Source organism: Homo sapiens, chromosome 6 (genome assembly GCF_000001405.40).
Source record: "Homo sapiens chromosome 6, GRCh38.p14 Primary Assembly".
NCBI lineage: Eukaryota > Metazoa > Chordata > Mammalia > Primates > Hominidae > Homo > Homo sapiens.
Window position 1 is genome coordinate 90,910,942 of NC_000006.12, and position 20,407 is coordinate 90,931,348.

A 20,407-nucleotide genomic window follows, 5' to 3' on the forward strand; every position below is an offset into this window, starting at 1 on the left:
GAAATTGGGATAATTGGATGTTGTAAGAAAGCTAAATAAAACCCCAAGAACTCTTCTTTGCTTCCTAGGCAAATGTGTGCGCGCGTGTGTGTGTGCGCGTGCGCACATGTGTTTTATGCTGCTGTTGAAGTAGCAGCAGGATTAGATGGAAACAGCAGAGCTTGAGATTTAATCATACATTGATTTATGCTCTTATTCTGCCCTCACTTTATGTATGGCTCTGGGCATATTAATGATCTTCTCAGACCCCTGTTGCCCTTTGCCCCATCTGTCAGACTGGAAAGGTGTTTTGAGGATTCAATGAGGTAGCAGGAAAGGACTGAGGACCATACCTGCCCTGTTCTGGGGCTCACTAAACACTGCTTCCTCCACTTGCCTCTGATTTTTTATACAGAAGCCTGCTGTCTCCTTCCCACTTTCTCTTGTTGAGTGGTCCAGCCTCTGGGAAGAAATGGCACCTCCTTTCTTAGATGTCAGTAGGGGTACTGTTAATCTCTTAAGTCACACTGTACAAATAGCCAACTCTTCTCCACTTGTATATGGCTCTCTAAAGATAAGATTTCTGCACTTGGAAGGTAAAAAAAAATCACCAGATACTTGGACTTATTGTTGGAAAACAATGTTTATGACGATGAAGCTGTATAAAAGTAAGTATATTTTGTATGTACAAAATATAAATTAAATGGACACTTCTTTATCATTAGCTTTCAATCTGCTATGTATATCCTTATAATGATAATATTGGGAATGATGCAGACACCTGAGAAGAAAACAGAGGTATGTAAAATAAATGACTAAATGATAAATGAGCCTTATCTATCATTTGTAAAAGATGGACAGCAATTCAGCAATTGTAGTGATTGTAGCAGCACTTAGCTTCTGTCGTATAATGTTTACTCAGAGAAAAGTCATGAAATCTTATCTCCTGTGCATATAAACAGACTTAAAATAATAAGCTTTAGGTTCTGGGATAGCCTCAGCCACTTCCTTCTTATGGGAGGTGGACAAAGCACTTCATCCTTGTGGGTGTGTACTTCTTCATTTTCTGAATTTTTTCAGCTTCTGGGTTCAGATAGTGAGAATTTAGTTCAAATGTGAAGAGCTACCATAATAAAACAAATATGAACTGTTGTATAATACTCAGGCTAGTTTCCCCAATTTAATTATAACCAGTTTTATGTCCCCCGGCCCATGCAACTGCTACCTATTGTGGGCATCTCGAGTCACCCTTGTGGCTCCCTCTGCCTATATTGCTTATCTACCCTGCACCAGTGTTCTGTGAGACCACTCCTGGACCAGGTCTGCTGGGCCTTTCAAAGGAATGTGAATCTAATTATAACTCTTCTCCAAAGGGATGGGACCTGGGACATGCCTGATGTCCCACAGGAGTGAGAACCCAGATCTTAGACACACCAAGGACATGTTTACCCTGAGTGGGAGAAAATAACTTCTATGTTTTATAGTAAGTCACCCTCCCAGGGGTGATCTAAGGACTCAGGGCTCTTTCATGTGTTAATACAACAACAAACAAAACAGAGAAAATTATTCAGAAACTTAACTAATTCAGATAGTTAAGGCTTCTGTTCAGTTATCAAATGTAAGGTACTAATTCATGTCTTATAGCACATAATTCCAATCAGCGTTTTCATTTGGTTTTTAAAATTTGCATTTTTGAAGTTTGGGTAGAAGTTTTCCCTGATGGAGTAGTTGAGTAGAAGGACATATTCTTCCCCTCTCTAACATACATAAATGCTTTTAAAGTATACTGAAATAATAATTTTGATTTTGAAATTTATCTTGAAACATATAGTGGGATATCCATGGACGGGGAAATGTGAAGTTAGAGTAGTGGGCAGGAGCTGAAGCTCAAGCAGCTCACACCATATTGGATCTCTGTAAAGAATGGAACTAGGCATGTCTGAGGGAGTGCAGTACTAGAGCAAACGCAAAACACCATGATAGGTCAAGGACGAGACTGCCAAAGAAAGGAAAAGCTTCCTTTCTGCTCTCTGGACAAGGGACTTCTCATTTTCATTTTGTATCCTGCCTGCAAATTACGTAGTCTGCATTGTGCTAGTGTTTGGGAATATTAGAATTTGTGGATCTAGCAACAAATTGACCTTTCTATGGGACAGTATTTTATAATTTCCATGCGTATTTTAAGATGAAGTTTTGGTAGCCATTTGAGATCACCTTATGGGGCCAAGTGCCTTTGCAATAATTTAGTTCATCTGAACATATCAAAGCCTGATGAAATTTGGACATATTTTACAAAACCCTGCTATTTCAGAGGTGTGTGTAGCTCAGACATAGGGATCAAAGTGACTTGTTCAAAGCTAGCAGTAAGGGGCTGTTCTTGTTCCTACTCTTAGTTCAAGCAGGACTCATGCACTATTTTATGTTTCAAGACAAAAATAAAATCAGTACTAGGAAACTTAACCACCCCACTGAGCACATTTATCATGTGTTTCTCATACTCCTCGCCCTCCTCCTCACCATCCCCCTGATGAGGTGTTCAAGGATTAATGAACTAGTGTTGGGAAATTATTTATACTTTCTTGTATAAAAGTACCATAAAGAACAATGTATATAGTTTCCACTTAGAGTCAGCAAACTAAGCTTTTAGGAACATAAAGCATATCTAATACATAGTTATTTACTTCTTAAGGGAGAGTTCAGAGAAGAACTAATTTATTGAGCTAAATATCTTTGGTCGTATTTTCCATACTTGTTTTATATCCCAAAGTACTGTATCAAAATATAGCTTCCTTCACCTTAGACCTCTGTGGGGAGAGATGTATGTGAATTATAGCACATTTCACAGCCAGAAATGGGGAACAGTGCATGTGGCCTCATTCTTGACCTCATCTCAGAGCCCATTATAGACATTTCTTGAGACTGTTCATTCTAGAAATAAAAGGGGTGAGACTGAACTTTGATTCCAGAGAATGAGTGTATTCCTGAAGTTTTTCTTTCTTTCTTTTTTTTTTGTTTTTTGGTTGTTGATTTTTCAGATTCATACTAAAAAGAGTATTTTTTGTTTATTAGATCCCTTTTACTTATTAATACTCAACTTTGGTGTGTTAGTAGCATTGTTGATTTAGTAGTAAGCAGTTATAATCTGGGGTACTGTGATACTTAAAAGGATTTTTAACATTGCTTGTTTAAAATAATCCCCTCCCTTTAGGGAGGTTGGCACAATAAACTATCTGTCCATTATACTTCAGGGTAAATGGTCTACTACATTTTTTTCAAAGAATATGTTTAATGGAGAGGTGGGAGTGTTTCCTAGAATAATACTAGATATGACTATACTAAAGGGAGAGAAAATAACAAAGGGGGAATAGAAACAAGTAAGACAAATAAAAATCCAGGTCACAGCTCTTTAAGGTAGAAGTTGCCCATTCCACAGCATTGCCTAAACTTTCAAGATTATTGGAAATTTCTGTTGCTCCTTGATATGGTTAGGATCTGTGGCCCCACCCAAATCTCATCTTGAATTGTAATCCCCATAATCCCCACGTGTCAAGGTAGATCAGGTGGATGTGATTGGATCATGGGGGGAATTGTAATCCCCATAATCCCCATATGTCAAGAGAACAGGTAGAGGTGATTGGATCATGGGGGTGGTTTCCCCCATGCTGTTCTTGTGATAGTGAGTTCTCATGAGATCTGATGGTTTTGTAAGAGGCTATTCTTCCTTCACTCTGCCACTCTTCACCTTTCTGCTGCCTCGTGAAGAAGGTGCCTTGCTATCCCTTCACCTTCTGCCATGATTGTAAATTTTCTGAGGCCGCCCTGGCCATGCTGAACTGTCAGTCAATTAAAATGCTTTCTTTATAAGTTACCCAGTCTCAGGCAGTTCTTTATAGCAGTATTAAAATGAACTAATAATGTAAATTGATACCACAGAGAGTGGGTTGCTGCTATGAAGATATCCAAAGATGTGGAAATGACTTTGGAACTAGGTAACAGACAGAGGTTGGAACAGTTTGGAGGGAAAGCTCAGAAGAAAACAGGAGATGTGGGAAGGTTTGGAGTTTCCTAGAGACTTGTTGAATGGCTTTGGCCAAATGCTGATAATGATATGGACAATGAAGTCCAGGCAGAAGTGGTCTCAGATGGAGATGAGGAACTTCTTGGGAACTGGAGCAAAGGTTGCTCTTGCTATGCTTTAGCAAAGAGACTAGGAGCATTTTGTCCTGCCCTGGAGACCTGTGGAACTTTGAACTTGAGAGAGATGATCTGAAATTGGAACTTATATTTAAAAGGGAAGCAGAACATAAAAGCTTGGCAAATTTGCAGCCTGAGCATGCAATAGAAAAGAAGAGCCCATTTTCTGAGGAGAAATTCAAGCCGGCTACAGAAATTAGCATAAGTAACAAGGCGCCAAATGGTAATCACCAAGACAATGGGGAAAATGCCTCCAGGGCATGTCAGTGGCCATTATGGCAGCCCCTCCCATCAAAAGCTGGGAGGCCTAGGAGGAAAAAATAGTTTATTGGGCTGGGCCCAGGGCCTTACTGCTTTGTGTAGCCTCAGGACTTGGTGCCCTGTGACCCAGCTGTGGCTAGAAGGGGCCAATGTACAGCTCAGGCCGTTGCTTCAGAGGGTGCAAGCCCCATGCCTTGGCAGCTTACACATGGTGTTGGGCCTGTGGGTGCACAGAAGTCAAGAACTGAGGTTTGGGAACCTTTGCCTCGATTTCAGAGGTTGTATGGAAATGCCTGGATGTCCAGGCAGAAGCTTGCAGCCGGTGTGGAGCCCTTGTGGAGAACCTCTGTTAGAGCAGTGCAGAAGGGAAAAGTGGGGTTGAAGCCCCTGACAGAATCCCCACTGAGGCACCACCTAGTGGAGCTGTGAGAAGAGGGTCATTGTCCTCCATACCACAGAATGGTAGATCCACTGACAGCTTGTACTGTGCACCTGGAAAAGCTGCAGACACTCCATATCAGCCCATGAAAGCAGCCAGGAGGAGGGCTGTACCCTGCAAAGCCACAGGGTTGGAGCTTCCCAAGGCCATGGGAACTCATCTCTTGTGTCAGTGTGACCTGGATGTGAGACATGGAGTCAAAGGAGATTATTTTGGAACTTTAAGGTTGAATGACTGCCTTATTGAACTTTGGACTTGCATGGGCCTGTAGCCCTTCATTTTGGCCAATTTATCCCATTTGGAATGGGTATTTACCCAATGCCTGTACCCCCATTGTATCTAGGAAGTAACTAACTTGCTTTTGATTTTATAAGCTCATAAGCAGAAGGGACTTGCCTTATCTCAGATGAGACTTTGGACTTGGACTTTTGGTTTAATGCTGCAATTAAGACTTTGGGGACCTATTGGGAAGGCATGATTGTGTTTTGAAATGTGAAAAGTACATGAGATTTGGGAGGGGTCAGGGTGGAATGATATCATTAGGTTTTGTGTCCTCTCCTAAATTTTATCTTGAAATGTAGTCCCCATAATCCCAATAATCCCCACGTGTCAAGGGAGAGACCAGGTGGAGGTGACTGGATCATGGAGGTGGCCTCCCCCATGCTGTACTCATGATAATGAGTGAGTTCTCATGAGATATGATGGTTTTATAAGGGGCTCTTCCCCCTTCACTCTGCTACTCTTCTCCTTCCTGCTGCCTTGTAAAGAAGGTGTCTTGCTTCCCCTTCCCCTTCCAACATGATTGTAAGTCTCCTGAGGCCTCCCAGTCATGCTGAATTGTGAGTCAATTAAACCTCTTTCCTTTATAAATTACCCAGTCTCAGGCAGTTCTTTGTAGCAGTGTGAAAACAGACTAATACACTCCTATCTGTTTTTAAAAGCTTGTTTCAAAGTGATTTTCAGGGTGAGATTTAAGGCAGAAGTGGTTGACTCATGGGCATCTGTCTACAGAGTGCAAAGAGCCACTTACTAAGTTAACAGCAGAAATGGTAAAAGCAGAGTCTCTCCCTATATTACCATGAATAACCACCATTGTATGTTTCTCCTATCATATTGTAGATATCGATTGCTGTATGTAACTTCTGTAATTCATCAAGCAACTTCAACCTCTAACAGAAACATGGGAACTAAGGTGCCACAAGTCCACCAGCATAAGCATTTTCCTGTCATCTGAAAGAATGATGCCTTACTAATGGTGCTAAGAGTCCATGTGGGAAAGAGACTCAGGAGGCCCATTACAAAACTTTCCCCACTTCAAAAGAATATTGTTTTGCTGTAGTGCCATAACATGATTTATTTTAGAATGTTTTTCTAAAATAAATAAACTGTGAGCCTTTATCAGCTTGAGAGAAATGTGTTAGGCACAACCTCCCTGGAAGTACTAAAAACATCTGTGATCCAAGTCTATAGTAGTTGGGGGATTAAACTTGTGATCAGATTTCTTAGATGATGGTTTCTTTTCCTGCTGTTACAATTTCCGTTGACTTTGGCTTTCTTGTGTACTAGGAAAAGTAAATTGGAATGGAGCAGACAATTAAGAACTGGATGTCTAAATCCTTGTTCACATACTTGTACATTTCTCACAAATTACAATATGCTTCCTTATAAATATTTTTCTCATAAAGATTTCTTTAGAAATCTAACCACAAACTTTTCTTTATTAATAATTTACCTCAGGTTTGCCATCTAGAAGACTGGGCTAAATGACACCCAAAGGTCCTTTCAGGCCTAACCTTTCTGACTCAAGTATTCTATGATCACACAGGACTTCCTGGATTGTTAACCTGCAACTCTGTTTAAATGTTGACAGAAAATCTGTTAGAAAATGCTTCCAATTTTAGAGAAGAAAACTCCATTTCATGGGGGGAAGAAAGACTAGAAACATCCAGACTTATTTCTGCGTGCTTACTTTGTTTTCTTTTGCCCAGCAGAAAGGTAAATTGAAATTAGATTGTGCTTTTCTGTAAAACTGTAATTTATAACAGGCTTAAAAGTTTCAAAAATATAATCATTTTTCCAATGTTTCTGTGTTAGATTTCATAACTCTCGTTGACTAAGTTGCAATTTACCTCCCTAATATCTACCCTGGAATTCTTGGCCACAGATATCTTGGGGGAGGGATAATGAAAAAATTATATAGGCCTTCCATGGGCCAGTATTTTCAAACTTCTTGGCCAATAAATTCCTTGAACTCCATCTTCCTTATTGAGTATAACAATGGCCGTAGACTATAGAAATGAAATAAAGGCCAAAATAAATTTTTCGGTAAATAGCCTAAGAAATATACCAGAAACCACATGTATTCACATAGTATTCTCTAGGCAGAAACATAAAGCGAGCACAATATATTTGTGAGGGAAAGAACAACAAGGACTTAAGATGGAAACCATGAATCATAAGAACATTGTATAAGAAATCAGTGGCATAAAACATACAGAAGTAAGATGTCAAAACATTTTTACAGGAAGACCCTCAGACAATACAAATAAAATACTCCAAAAACATAAATCAGAATTAGTATCTGGAATAAAGAAATGCCTCAAAATGTATTTTTTCCAATTTAATCAGTAACACAGAAACAATTCACCAATTATCATGCAATGGACACATTGCATGGCTGTGTCTCTTATACTCAAAGCAGTCTTACTTTCTGGTGGTTCAGAGTGGTGGTCACAGCTTTCCTACCATGATTTATGACATAGTAAAATGGGGAAGTTACTGGATTGTTTCATGAATGGCTATGAATTTATGAGAGATTAAATTTAGCTCTTCCTGATTAAGTTAACAGGGAAAGATAAAATGTATTTTGAAAGTGGTAGTATATTATATATAATATACCACTTTAAAGCATAGCAGCTTTTCTGTATTCATATTTCAGAAACCTTGAATGATAAACAGGGAAGGTGTTATTTTTCTAATCTAACTTCTGGGAAAATATAAGCCAATGCTTTCTGAAAGTGCTAAAAGTCAGAAAACTAATTAGAAGAATATCAATACTGAAATTTATTTTCAGATCTAAGTATGCTCCTTATCCCATTATCAAATTCTAAAAGGAAAAAACAACCTAGCAGTTTCTCTTTTTTTTTGTCGCATAGACAGAAAGGTTTAAGGGTAGTTGGCTAAAATCTAACTATGTCTGTATGTGAGGAAAACAAAGTAAGCAAAGAAATATTAGAAAATAAATGATAAGCAAAAGCATTGTAAGGGACTGCCATTAAAAGAGGATTGAAATCAATATGAGCTTGCAATGAATTTAGAGCAAAAACATTAAATAACATGAAAAAGGTATTCTATAAAGTTAGTTCACAGTGAAGATTTCTGTACTAAGTAACATAGCATGAAAATTTATAAAACAAATGACAAGAAATTCAAAGAGTAATATACAGAAACATTCATAGTAGGAAATATTAACTCACTGCTCTTGCTTCATAACTGATGAAGTAGACAAAAAGTCTGGGTAAGAAGACCTAAGTATCATAATGAATAGGATAGGATAGGTCTAATTAATAGGTACCAAACACTAAATTTACAAGAGGAAAAAAAATTCTTTTTTTAAATGCTCAGGGAATAGCAACAGAAATGTAAAGTTTTAGGTGACAATACATTTTAAAAACTAGTAATAACACATAACTGCTTCTGGCAGTATGGCAGACAAGACATTCTATAAAGACTTGCATTAACATAAAACACTCAGATACTGACTAAATGACAACAAATATAATTTAAGATGTATTGCTAAGCTTACAAGAGAGTTAATATTTGTGAACACTGGAAATATTGAAGAAGAGCTAAAACTATACAGATAGTTTAACACTGATGCAGAAGATGTTGCTGTCTTAGGGGGCAAAAGCCAATACTAAGAAACCAGAATTTCAAAAATTAGTAGTCACCTAGAATGAGAAGAGACTAAGTCTTGGGCCCAGACAAATGGATAGGGGTTGTTGAGACTACTTGAGACACATATAGAAGGCTAGGACACATGAGGGACCTATAGGTCTATGAAATGATGCGCAATACAGTGTTTGCAAATCTGTGAAGGGACTTGATCAAGAAACATATTCTGACTAAGAATGCAAGTTGGGGCTTTGAATTTATGCTACCTTAAAGACAAGAGAATCTATACTTGGGGAAATTTAATAGCATGGCTTCAGTGTGGTAGTATCCCAACCTATCAAGAAGAAGCAAATGTGAATCTTCCTTGACGAAAAATATTCCTAGTTCAGGCCTTTTAGGAATCACCTACATTAAATTTAGACAAATGTAAACTTACAATTAAAAACAGTCAAATGTATAAGAACATAATCTGATAAGAACAGCTTCAATAGAAAAACATAAATTTTGTTTTAAAAAGACTATATTTGAATAGAAACATATAATAAAATTTATGAAATATTTTTAAAATATAAAGGATGATTTTTCAATAAAAGACCCAGAAGTAAGTGAGTTGCCAAAAAAGAAAATAGAATAGAAACAAGTAAATATTTAAAGAGATAATGTCTAATAGGTGTAAATCCATCAATGTAAGAAGTGGGATAAATAAAAAGAAATACATACCCAGAGACCATAGTGTAAATGTAGAATAGCAAAGGCAAAGAGGCGACATTAAACAGAAATGGAGAGAAAAGAGACATTCCCTATAAAGCAATAGTAAATTAAAGCAAACATTTAATAGCAAAAGGGGATCTATAATAACATAAAATGTATAAAATGCTGAGAGATAACTATGAATAACCTAGAAAACAAGAGTTTGCTAAAACAGCAATAATAAATAATAAAAATCAGAAATAATACCACTAACAAGGGAAGTATAAAGAATTAGACAAAGTAGCATGTAATCTAGGTGTGGGGTTTCAGACAAGTCAGAACACTCTAAAATCCCAGTAATTTTTGGAAGAAGGGTAGAGATATACATTAACTGTAGATTTTGTTATTCTAAATATCTTGGTAAAATGAAAGAATAGAAATGGTAACTATAAATTTCAAATTAGCAAAGAGAAAAAACAGGGTAAGAAAAAGTTTAAAAGCAGACAATCCCAAAGAAGAAAGAAGCAGTATAAAAGCATGATAAATGAAGAAAAAACACTATATGATAGAAAGAAATCCAGATATATAAATGTATTGGGTTAAGCTCACCAATAAATGAGATTGTCAAGTAGTATATATTAAAAAATCAAACTATATACTCTTTATGAAAGATGCTACTAAAATCTAAGGTTACAGAAAAGCTGAAGATAAAAGAAACAATATAAACCAAGTACATATTAACAAAATAAGGGCTGAGTTATCTAAACTACCATTAGAAAAGTTAGACATAAAGACCAAAACCATATACAGCAATAAAGAGGATGACCACACAACAATAAATGGTTCAGTTTACCAGAGGGATTGAAAACTTTAAACTTACATGCACGTAATAAAAGAACCTCTAAATACATAAAGCAAATTTTGTCAAATCAACTCTTTCCAAAAGATCTCTCTATAACCAATTGGTAAAAAAGTTTTAGTAAGGATATAAGACATTGAACAACTCAATAAGATTGATTTAATGAGCCTGCAATTATATTTGTTTTCCTCAAGCAAACACAGATCTTTTATAAAAGATATACAGTATGCAATAAAGTGAATGTCAACACATTTCGAAGTACTGGTATCACATATATTACATTATCTGATCAAAATGCAATCAACTTAAAAATCAGTAACAAAGAGATACTCCCAAACAGCTCTATACTTAGAAAAAATAATAAACTACTCATCTAAAAAAGTTATGATCCAAACAAAACATGAATATTAACAATACTTTTAACTGAATGTTAATTGAAAACACTTCATCACTTGCTAGATAGAGATACAACTGTGTTTCAAGGGATATTTATAATTTTAAATGCTTATGTTAGTTAAAAAGACAGTTAATGAACTAAGTTGCTAATATTAGAAGTTATAAAATTAATTCCCAAATAAACATAGAGAAAGTAGAATGAAAAAATTGATAAAAATAGGGAAACAACTGAAATGGGAAACAAAGATACAATAAAGTGAAACAATAATGTCAAAATTTGTTCTTGGAAAGATTAATAAATTATACAAATTTCTGGAAAGATTGATCAACATTTAAAAAAAGAGAAGACACAATTTTTTATAGAATGAAACAGGAAACCAGCTACCACAGAGATAAGAAGAAAATATTATAATACTGCAAACATGATTTTATTATTTTCAATAAATTTTAAAACAGACTATAGAGGAAAATTCTGGGAAAATATGAATTATGTATTAAAAACTGACAAGACAGAAAAGTAAGCTTTATATAGTCCTACTATCATTGAAATTCAAATTAGCATTTTAACCAATTTCTCCCAAGAAAACAATAGGCCTAGATTATTTTGTAGATGAATTCTACGAGAGGCCCTAGTGAATGCTTCACGCTTTAAGTCTCTGTAAGCTATACTCTAAGAGTAAAGACAAACTCGGGAAGCCTGAAATCTAGTCTTGAAATCACTCTTTCCTGGATTAGGTCAAGGTGATCTGCTCCAACCCTAACTGCCAACTGGAAGAAATGTGAACTTTCCCTAGAAGATGAAAATATCATTCAGAGTTTCTCCAATTTTGCATTTATAATGTCTAACATTCAATAAATGCTGATCAGGCATATCAGGACACAAAACCAAATGAGGGAAAGCCAGGACAAAACTCAGAGAATAGAATCATACCTAGATGTGGTCCAGATATTAGGGTTATCAGAAACAAAGTTTAAAATATGTTTTAAAAAGTAGGTAACAAGGCAATTTTATTATCTGTTACTAGTGACTGTTTCCTCCTTTCTAATTTTGATATCTTTTTATTTCTTTTTCTTACATTGCTGGCTAAGATCCATAAGACAATGTTGAATAGAAATGATGAAAGTGGCAATTCTTGTCTTTCTTATGTAAAGAAAATGTTCTTAATATTTGATAATTAAGTATGATTTTGCTATAGGCTTCTGACAGATAATCTTTATCAGATTGTCCTTCTAATCCTGGCTTAGTAAGATTTTCTCATATGAAGAAGTATTGAATTGTATTTTACTTATTTGTGTTTTTGCCTCAATTGAGATGCTAATGTGGTTTTTCATCTTTACATTAAGGAATTTTTTTAATGTTAAGTAATTTTCAATGGTTAGTGATGTTGAACATCTTTTCATGTGTTTATTCATTATCCATATATTCTCTTTGGTGAAGCATTTATGTAAGTCTTATGACCATTAAAAAAAGATTTTTAAATTAAATTTTTTTTTTTTACTATTGAGTTTGAGAGTTCTTTATTGAGTTTGAGAATTCTTTATATGTTATGGATGTAAGTCATTTATCAGATATGTGATTTGCAAATATTTTCTCTTAATCTCTAATTTGCATTTTTGTTCCCTTAGCAGTGTCTTTGGTAGGGCAAAAGTTTAATATATTAAATTTTCCTTTTATGGATTATGCTTTTGGTACTACATACAAGACCTCCTTGCCTAGCTCCAAGTCAAGAAGATTTTCTCCTATGTTTTCTTCTAAACATTTTACAGTCTAACATTCTGCATTTAGGTCTATAATCCATTTGGAACTAATTTTTGTGTAAAATGTAAGGTTTGGGTCAAAGTTGTGATTTTTTGCATATGAACGTCCAAACATTCCAACAGCATTATTTGTTAAAAAGATGACAGTACTCTTGATCACATCACAATATATTTTAATTATCTTTTTCCATGCATACTCCATACATTGGAGTATGTATTTCTCCTGCCCTGAGTCTACAAATCATCTTTGTGTGTGGGAATCTATCTTAGAAACTTGAACAGTTAGTACTCAGTAAATATTGGTTGGATTAATAATAATGAAACAATGAATTCAGATTTTCCTGTGTGTGGTAGAAATGTTCAGAAATACATGTAATGAAGATGTCTTTTTGGTGTGTGCTTTCTTCCATTCCCTTCTTAAAGAATGTGTAGGCGTATGTATCCTGTGACTTTGTCCATAAATGATTGGACTAGAGGTAGAAGCATAAACCAAAGTGGGCCAACTAGTTTTTTCATCCCCAAAGTTTGAATTGTGATGTGGACAGAGCAATTCATATTTTTCTGGGTTCTGGCTCTGCAATATTATGTAGACTCAGCGGCTGAAGCCACCCTATTGAGGTGGCAGTGATGTCCCATATAGAAGTGAAGGAGAGAATGGAATGATCCTTTGAGAAGCAAAAGTGGAGACAGGGACAAAAGGTAGATGTTTGAATTTATTATAGTTTTTCCCAATCTGGGCTGGGATTTTTGAGAATTCCTATTTTCAAAGCTAGCTTTCCTGGGGATTTAATTCATTGCAATGAAACTGTCTAGCCAAAGCAAGCAGTAAGAATAATGCAACAAATGACATTTAATTTAAACCATAATCTAAAAGGTAAGCTGACTCTACAGAAATTACAATACAACATTTGTATGTAACATACGAATGTAACTTTTTATTAAGAATAGTATAAAGATATGGGTAACACATACAGCCATCCTGCTTAGTTTAAATAACTAAAGTGTCATTGGGACTAAAAGAATAGTACTCTGAAATGGTCTCTGCTCTTCTAAGGATTAGTTTATTCAATGATTCAGTGTCAAGACTGGATGCTGATATTAAAAACATAGATGACATAGTCCTACCTTATTAAGCTCAGAGCTTAGTAGGGGAAATGGAAATTAACAAATAATTATAATGTTAGACTCTTATATGAATAAACAAGAAACAAAAGCAAACCACATCAGTCTACAATAAAGTCTGGAAGTGTTATGTACATTCATAACATCAGAAGCTCCTGATATTTAGTGATGTCAGGGAAGACTTCAAGGGGATTTGAGACATGAGGACAGAGGTGTTTGTGTGGGTAGAGAAGAAAATGGAGACATGGAAGGTGGAAAAGCTTCCTTTACGTGTAACAATGTTGATAGAAATGTAAATATTGTTCAGCTTTTTTTGAAGGGCTTGGGCATGCATTCAAAGTCACACACACAGTTCCCATGCATTATTTGCTTGCAATGGGAATAGACAATGTGAGTAGAGGGTGCTAAGTTTTGTCTAGAAGGTGCTCTCACAGTTCAGCTTTCATTTTCAGGAAACATAAGAACAAAGGAAAGATGTTACTGCCAGAGCTTGAGGAAGGAGCTGTTTCATGGTATGTTGACAGTAATTTAATCATGAAAGGTTATCTTCTAGACTAGCACTCAAATTTCCTTAGTCTTTCCTGATGATCAAGGGCATTCTTTGTTAAGTCTAATGTGCTGGCCCTCAAAGTTGCCTAGTATGCAAGGAAGCTGTCAATCATATACTTTAAAAAATGAACAGCAGAAGGGTTCTAAAGGGAAATCAAATTATGGTCCATTTGGAAATGTCACAATCAAGTGGTACTAGCAAAACTGAAGAGGTTCATTGACCATTCAAATTGATATATAAAGAATTACGTGTTTTTGCTGCTAATCAAAGATAAAGCTGCCTATGTGGAGCCTGAGCCCACTCAGGCTTTAGCTAATGTTAGTGTTTACATGACATGTTGGAAAAAAACTGGGCAATTACAAAGGCCCAGTCTAACTAGATCCTAACAGGCAAAATGCCCTCTGATCCAAATGTTAATAGCTTTGACCTTCATTGGTTTTTAATCTCATTCTGTCTAGCAGAGTAAATGAACCCTAGATTACACTGTACAGAAGAGTCTTTTCTGTTTTTCATTCAGTTTATTTTTATGTTTTTTCTGTTATTGCGGGGAAATTGAAAGTCTGTCTTTTTTCAGTTGGGTATATCACTGAGTGTATGCACAGAGAGGCTGCTGATTGACAGTGCTTCGACAAAGGCAGATTCAGTTTGCGGCTGATAAGGAGCAAAGTCATCCATGCCGTGTTTACAAAGTAGGCAAGGAGAGTAAAAAATTAGTGATAAAAGAGCTAATCTCATTGTTTTGCTGGATGAGAGAATGGCACTTTTGTGCTTGCTTTAAGAGGTGCTGGCGTGTTGCCCCTCCTTCCCCCTATATGCTTTGGCGGCAAAACAATTTCCAGATTCCCCAAAGTGTTATAGATTATAAAGGACACAGTAATGCTGGAAGGGTTTCCTGCTGTTGAGAAGGGTGCAAGCTGCACTGGAGATTGGCTGTTTATTCTATGTACTCATGACCCATACTGCATAAACTACTGATTTTCTCCCTCTGGTGTTTCTAAAGCAAAAGATAAATATTTGGGATGTCAGATTAATTCATCAGTGTTTAATTTTCCAACATATTTAAATACTTAGTTGTGCTAAGAATAAAGTTTGACACTCCTTTATGACAGGTCACAACTGGGTATAGGTTCTGGCTGTGGTAACTGGGCCTCTTTGAGTAACAGGCCAAGCAGCTGAAGGAATAGATCAGAGGAGAGGGCTGCACTTTTGTTCTTAGGGCATCAGTGTTTTGTTAGTTCATGACTACTTTGTTATAAGCCCTATAAGCATGGAAGAAATAGTAGTGTATAGTGGCTCTTGGCACAAACACAGTTTAAAAATTATTGTGTCTGCATCTAAAGTGTTCTGGTTATATAACTTCATCCTCTACTCAGTTTTTCTAAAGGAAAGGTAAGAGATGATGGATCAGCCAGAGGGATATCCCAGGTTTTACCATGTCTCATACTGCTGATATCTGCATTTAGTGGTGACCAACAAAAAAGTATAATGGTGGCAGCCACGTGTTTATTCCAGGTGATCTGAATCATTGACTCTTTCATTCATTTATTCAACACCATGTTCATGCAAACCTTCAATGGGCCAGGTGCTGGAGCTACTGATGGGAACAAAACATGGATCACAACCTAAGGGAGTTTCTAATCTTGTAGGGAAGATAGCAAAGTAGACAAATCATTACTGTACAGTATACTGCATTTTATGCTAGAGATGCTTACAGGGCACAGGAGAAGTGCTCCTCAGGAAGGCAAGGAAGGCTCCCAATAGATGATAGTTAATGGTATCTTGAAGAGTGTGTAGGAATGAGTCAGGAAATATACAACTCAGAATAACCAGAGCACTTCTTCTCAAGCTGTCAGACAAACTTGTGTTACAGGAGTATGTAAGGCCACAGAATAGATGTGACCTTATTTACCCCCCAAAATTTACTTTTTATTGGTTTGACAAATATTTATTGACGACCTAATCTGTGCTAGGCACTCTAACAGACATCAGGGATAGTTAATAAATTAGACAATCTTAAAACTCATGGATTTTCAATTCTTGGGAAATATATCTCAAAATATTTGAATATGTTATTGAAAAGAATGTAAAAATTTATGCAACCAAGCATGAGTATTTCATATAAATTTTGTGCTTGCAAGAGCAGTTTTGGCAATGCCCTTAGACCCCAAGATAATGTGTTCATTTTATTCTAGAGTTGGGATACTGTGTTGAAAGACTGAGGAGTGCTTGTAAGGTATATGTGAGGAACTGAGTGTGAGACATGGGATTGGGGAAGTAGGTAAGCACTAAACCAATAAGTTTGCATTTTCTATTAAAATAAATGATGCACTATAAGAGGATTTGAAGCAGGAAAGGCACGATCAGTTTAGGGTTTTAGAAGGATCACTCTGGTGGCAAGTACTCATAGGTCTGTCTGAGATAATGCTTTAAAAATATAGTCCCTATCACTGTTTTGCATTTTTCTCTGCCTGTATTGAATCATTTGAATGGTTTTCATTAATGTCCAAATAGCTAAAGCTAAGGACCTGCACTTAACTACCTGCAAACACACAGTGCACGGACAAGGGGATTTACCTTTGTGGAATTTCTCTTAAAGTTGAAGTTGCCAAAAGCATAAATTGAACCTAAAATTTGGGACCACCTTTATTCATACTCTGAATTGATTTAACTTTCTCTTTAAAATACCTCAAATATTTTACATATACTAGGTAATCTGTTTTTCAGAGAGAGAGTGGTTGCAAATAGCCAAAACCCATTCAAACTAGCTCAAGCTGCAAGGAAAAATATATTGAATTATTAGAAGGGCAAACAATGTAACCAGAACTTAGACCTATAGCCAGAATATAGAAGGAGAATAAGTCTAAGACCAAGGGAGCTACTGTTTTTCCGGGTCTCTCTGATGCATGTTGGATACTAGCTTAATTCTTTGTTATTTCTGCAGCAAGTTGTTTTTTCTTATTCATCTGATTTTTTAAAATGAGCACATGTATAAAATGTCCACACCAAGCTGTGTCCTTTTAGTTTAAGAATCACCAGAGACTACATAATTTTAGTTTTTACAGAGAGAGAACTGGACTGGCTAGTTTGAGTATGGTGACTACTCCTGGTAAAGTCAGCTGTGATTGGGAAGAGGTCCTGCAGCTCAGCCGCCATTCACTGGGGCTGTGTAAACAGACTCTGAATTCTCAGGGGTGTAGAGAAGTTCTATTAGGAGAGGGGTTGGGGCAGACTACAGTGATTAGATGAGGTAGTGACTAATCTCTAGCAACTTCCACAAAGAAAGCTTGGCAAGTCCCCAATATCCATGGGTATGTTTTTCGTAGGAGAATGACCATTCCTTTTCTAGATTTCTTTGTTCATTTTGATATTTCATAAATAGGTTGCTGTATTAGTCCTAATTCTTCAGGTTGCAGTGCTAGAAATTGAACTCATATTGCTAAAATATAATGTATTGCCTGATACACATGAAATGTTTAGATAATATGTGAGTTCGCCTAATGTTTGGATAATATGTGGGTTTCACAGCTAGGTCTAGCTACCCTGATCATCTAAGCAGGAATCCATTTCTGTCCTTCTGCAGGTGCTGCTTTCTTTCCTGAAGTCTTCATTCTCAGATAGCATCTGTACTAATCTGGTAGTACAGATGACTACCACAAGCTCCTGACTTGCATCCTGCTTTGAATGTTGATGGATATCAGAAGTATGGTTGCTTTTGCTACCAAAACAATTTAGGTTCCAAAATTAAAATAGTAAATTAGAATAAAAATCAATGTTCTATTCCCATTTTTTAGCTACTGAGTTGAATTTAGGTGGGGGAAGTATTTTTGACTTGAACTTTCTACAAATTTACTGTATGTATGTGAACATTAATAGGATAGCAGTATACTAAATATGAATATTGGGATTGAAGACTGCAGAATGCAAGACACTGTGGCATCTTACAATAGTTACAAAGGCATTAGCACAAGGCAGATTTATTTGTTTATTTATGTCCCCTATAAACCACAGCTAAACTGTTTTTTATTGATTTTTTTTTTAAATTTGCCTTGACCTCTTTTTTCTAAATTCCAAAATATTAAGATTCTTATTCAGCAGATTTGAGAAGTTTTTAAATGTAATAAAGTGGTTTTGATTGTAGTGAGGAAAACCAGCCCAAGAGCATATAGCTGCTGTGAGGATTTACTACCTGGGAAGGTAAAAGAAAACAAAAGGGTCCATATTCATGGGGGTCCTTTATTTTACATATGCATATCTGTGTTCATGGACCAGAATTTGTATTCTCCACTTGTATTTTAGAAAGACTGCCTAGTGTTATGAGAGACAGATTGAAGGTTATTGATATTATAACTGAGGGGCAGTTTAAAAGTTGAGTTAGAATTGATAGTTGTTGCATTTAGAAGTTTGTCACTTCTAAGCCAGACCTAGCTATAGGAGTAGAAGATGAGTATAGATATCATGGAGATAAATTTTTGTAAAAACAAATTTTCCTTTCAAGTTTTGGCCAATGCTTTTGCTGCATACTGTTGCTTTTCATATTTTTATTGTTAGCAACATGATAAAACTATGTCAGTAAGTGGGTTAGCTAATATAGGTAGGGTATCCTTTATCTGAAATGCTTGGGATCAGAAGCATTTCAGATTTCTGATGTTTTTTCAGATTTTGGAATATTTACATTATACTTACTGGTTCAGCTTTCTTAATCCAGAAATCCAAAATCGGAAGCTTTGAGCATCATGTCAGCCCTCAGGAAGTTTCAGATTGGCAAACATTTTGGATTTTGCTATGAGGATTAGGGATTCTCAACCTGTAATTTCTTAAAAGTGGTTTTAAGAAACATTTGAATAGGAAGATTCAGATTAGTATAATTTTGTGGAAGGAAATAAGAGGATTAGAAGTAGTGAGAATAGGAATTATTTATGTCTGATAGAAAGCAGGGCAGTGGAGCAGAATTTAAGTAGAGATGTCCAGGGCAACTGATGCCAGGGGTGTGTAAACTAACATGAAGCTAGGGTTTTGAAAGGAAAGAGGAGACTCAGTTTTGATGCTGATTTACTGCTCATGCCATGTTAAGGTTCTTCTCATGGCTATGGCGTTAGGAATATGGACCTTTTGTTTTCTTTTACTTTTCCAGGTGGTGAATCATCACAGCAGCTACATGCTATTGGGCTGGTTTTCTTTAGTACAATCAAAACCTCTTTACTACAAATGTAAGGATAACCTAATGCAAACTACATAAAGAACAGGTATATTCAGTTTTAGGATACAAAACCTAGTCCTGTTTCATGTTGGAGACTGTTCTCACAGATATGTCTGGAACTTTCTTTCTGTTCCAAATTTCTTAGTTTACTGCATAATTTTATTTACCCTGGAATCAGGTTACTTTTCTATTTATCTGTCCTGCTTCTCTGAGCCAAAGAGCTTAAATCTTTTCTAATTTTACAATTTCAAAGTTTTAAGTCTTCTAGGAAATGAAGATATTTTATTCATTCTATAAATGTATGTTAGATGAATGAGGTCACAATTAGCCAAGTTATATATTATATATATATTTTAATATATAGATAAATATGAAATATATATTATATATTATGTAATATATATTACGTATAAGGTGCAATACACAAACCATCACAATAGTACACATTCAGACTTATGATAAAGTAACATGTGAAGAGAAATGTGTGGATGGAAATTGCTAAACAATGTTCGGGTTGCTCTACTACTTCTCTTTTCTTTGTTTCTCTTTTCTTTAGTGTGCTTTCTCTTCTCTCTCTTTTTGGTGTTCTAATAAAGGAGAAAGGAAGAGGTATAAAATGTTGGGAAAATATCAGAAGTTGGAGTAGGAATGAAGCACCACAAGGAAGCTAACCTAAGTAAATTGTCCCTTTGTCATCCAATGCTCATAAAAAAACTACAAATTATTTTTAGATTTCTAAGTTCCTTGTTTTGGAATTCAAGTTAGTGCCCACAGTTTAAAGATACCAATAACTCATACCGTCTTGGAGGCAATTGCTTTAAGTTGATTTACTTTGATCAATGGAGGAGGCATTAAGTTGGTTTACCTTTGTCCCAGATGGGAGAAGTAGGATCTATAATGGAACAAAAACATTTTCTAAGATGAAAACTTGTGGGATGATGAGTTTCCCATTTCTTTTGTTGCCTGCCCAGAATTCAGGTGAGAACTCAGGGTTTTGTAATTCAAGCATTGATTAGGAAGTGTGTAAACTAGGGTTCATTTGTTAAAAGCAAAATTAAATATCTTAGG

General features: G+C 35.9%; 1 long non-coding RNA gene across 1 annotated transcript in view, besides 1 other annotated feature; it reads left to right on the top strand.

Annotated features, from left to right (window-relative positions):
* The window catches only part of LOC107986623 (uncharacterized), a 324,476-nt gene that overhangs the window by 279,546 nt on the left and 24,523 nt on the right, over positions 1 to 20,407 (top strand). The window lies entirely within an intron of this gene.
* Positions 4,163 to 4,672: an enhancer, noted in NCBI's record as "NANOG hESC enhancer chr6:91624822-91625331 (GRCh37/hg19 assembly coordinates)". NCBI's record gives its function as "activates a minimal SCP1, AML or CMV promoter by ChIP-STARR-seq in naive H9 embryonic stem cells {active_cell/tissue: H9 hESC(naive)}" and the evidence as "EXISTENCE:reporter gene assay evidence [ECO:0000049][PMID:30033119]".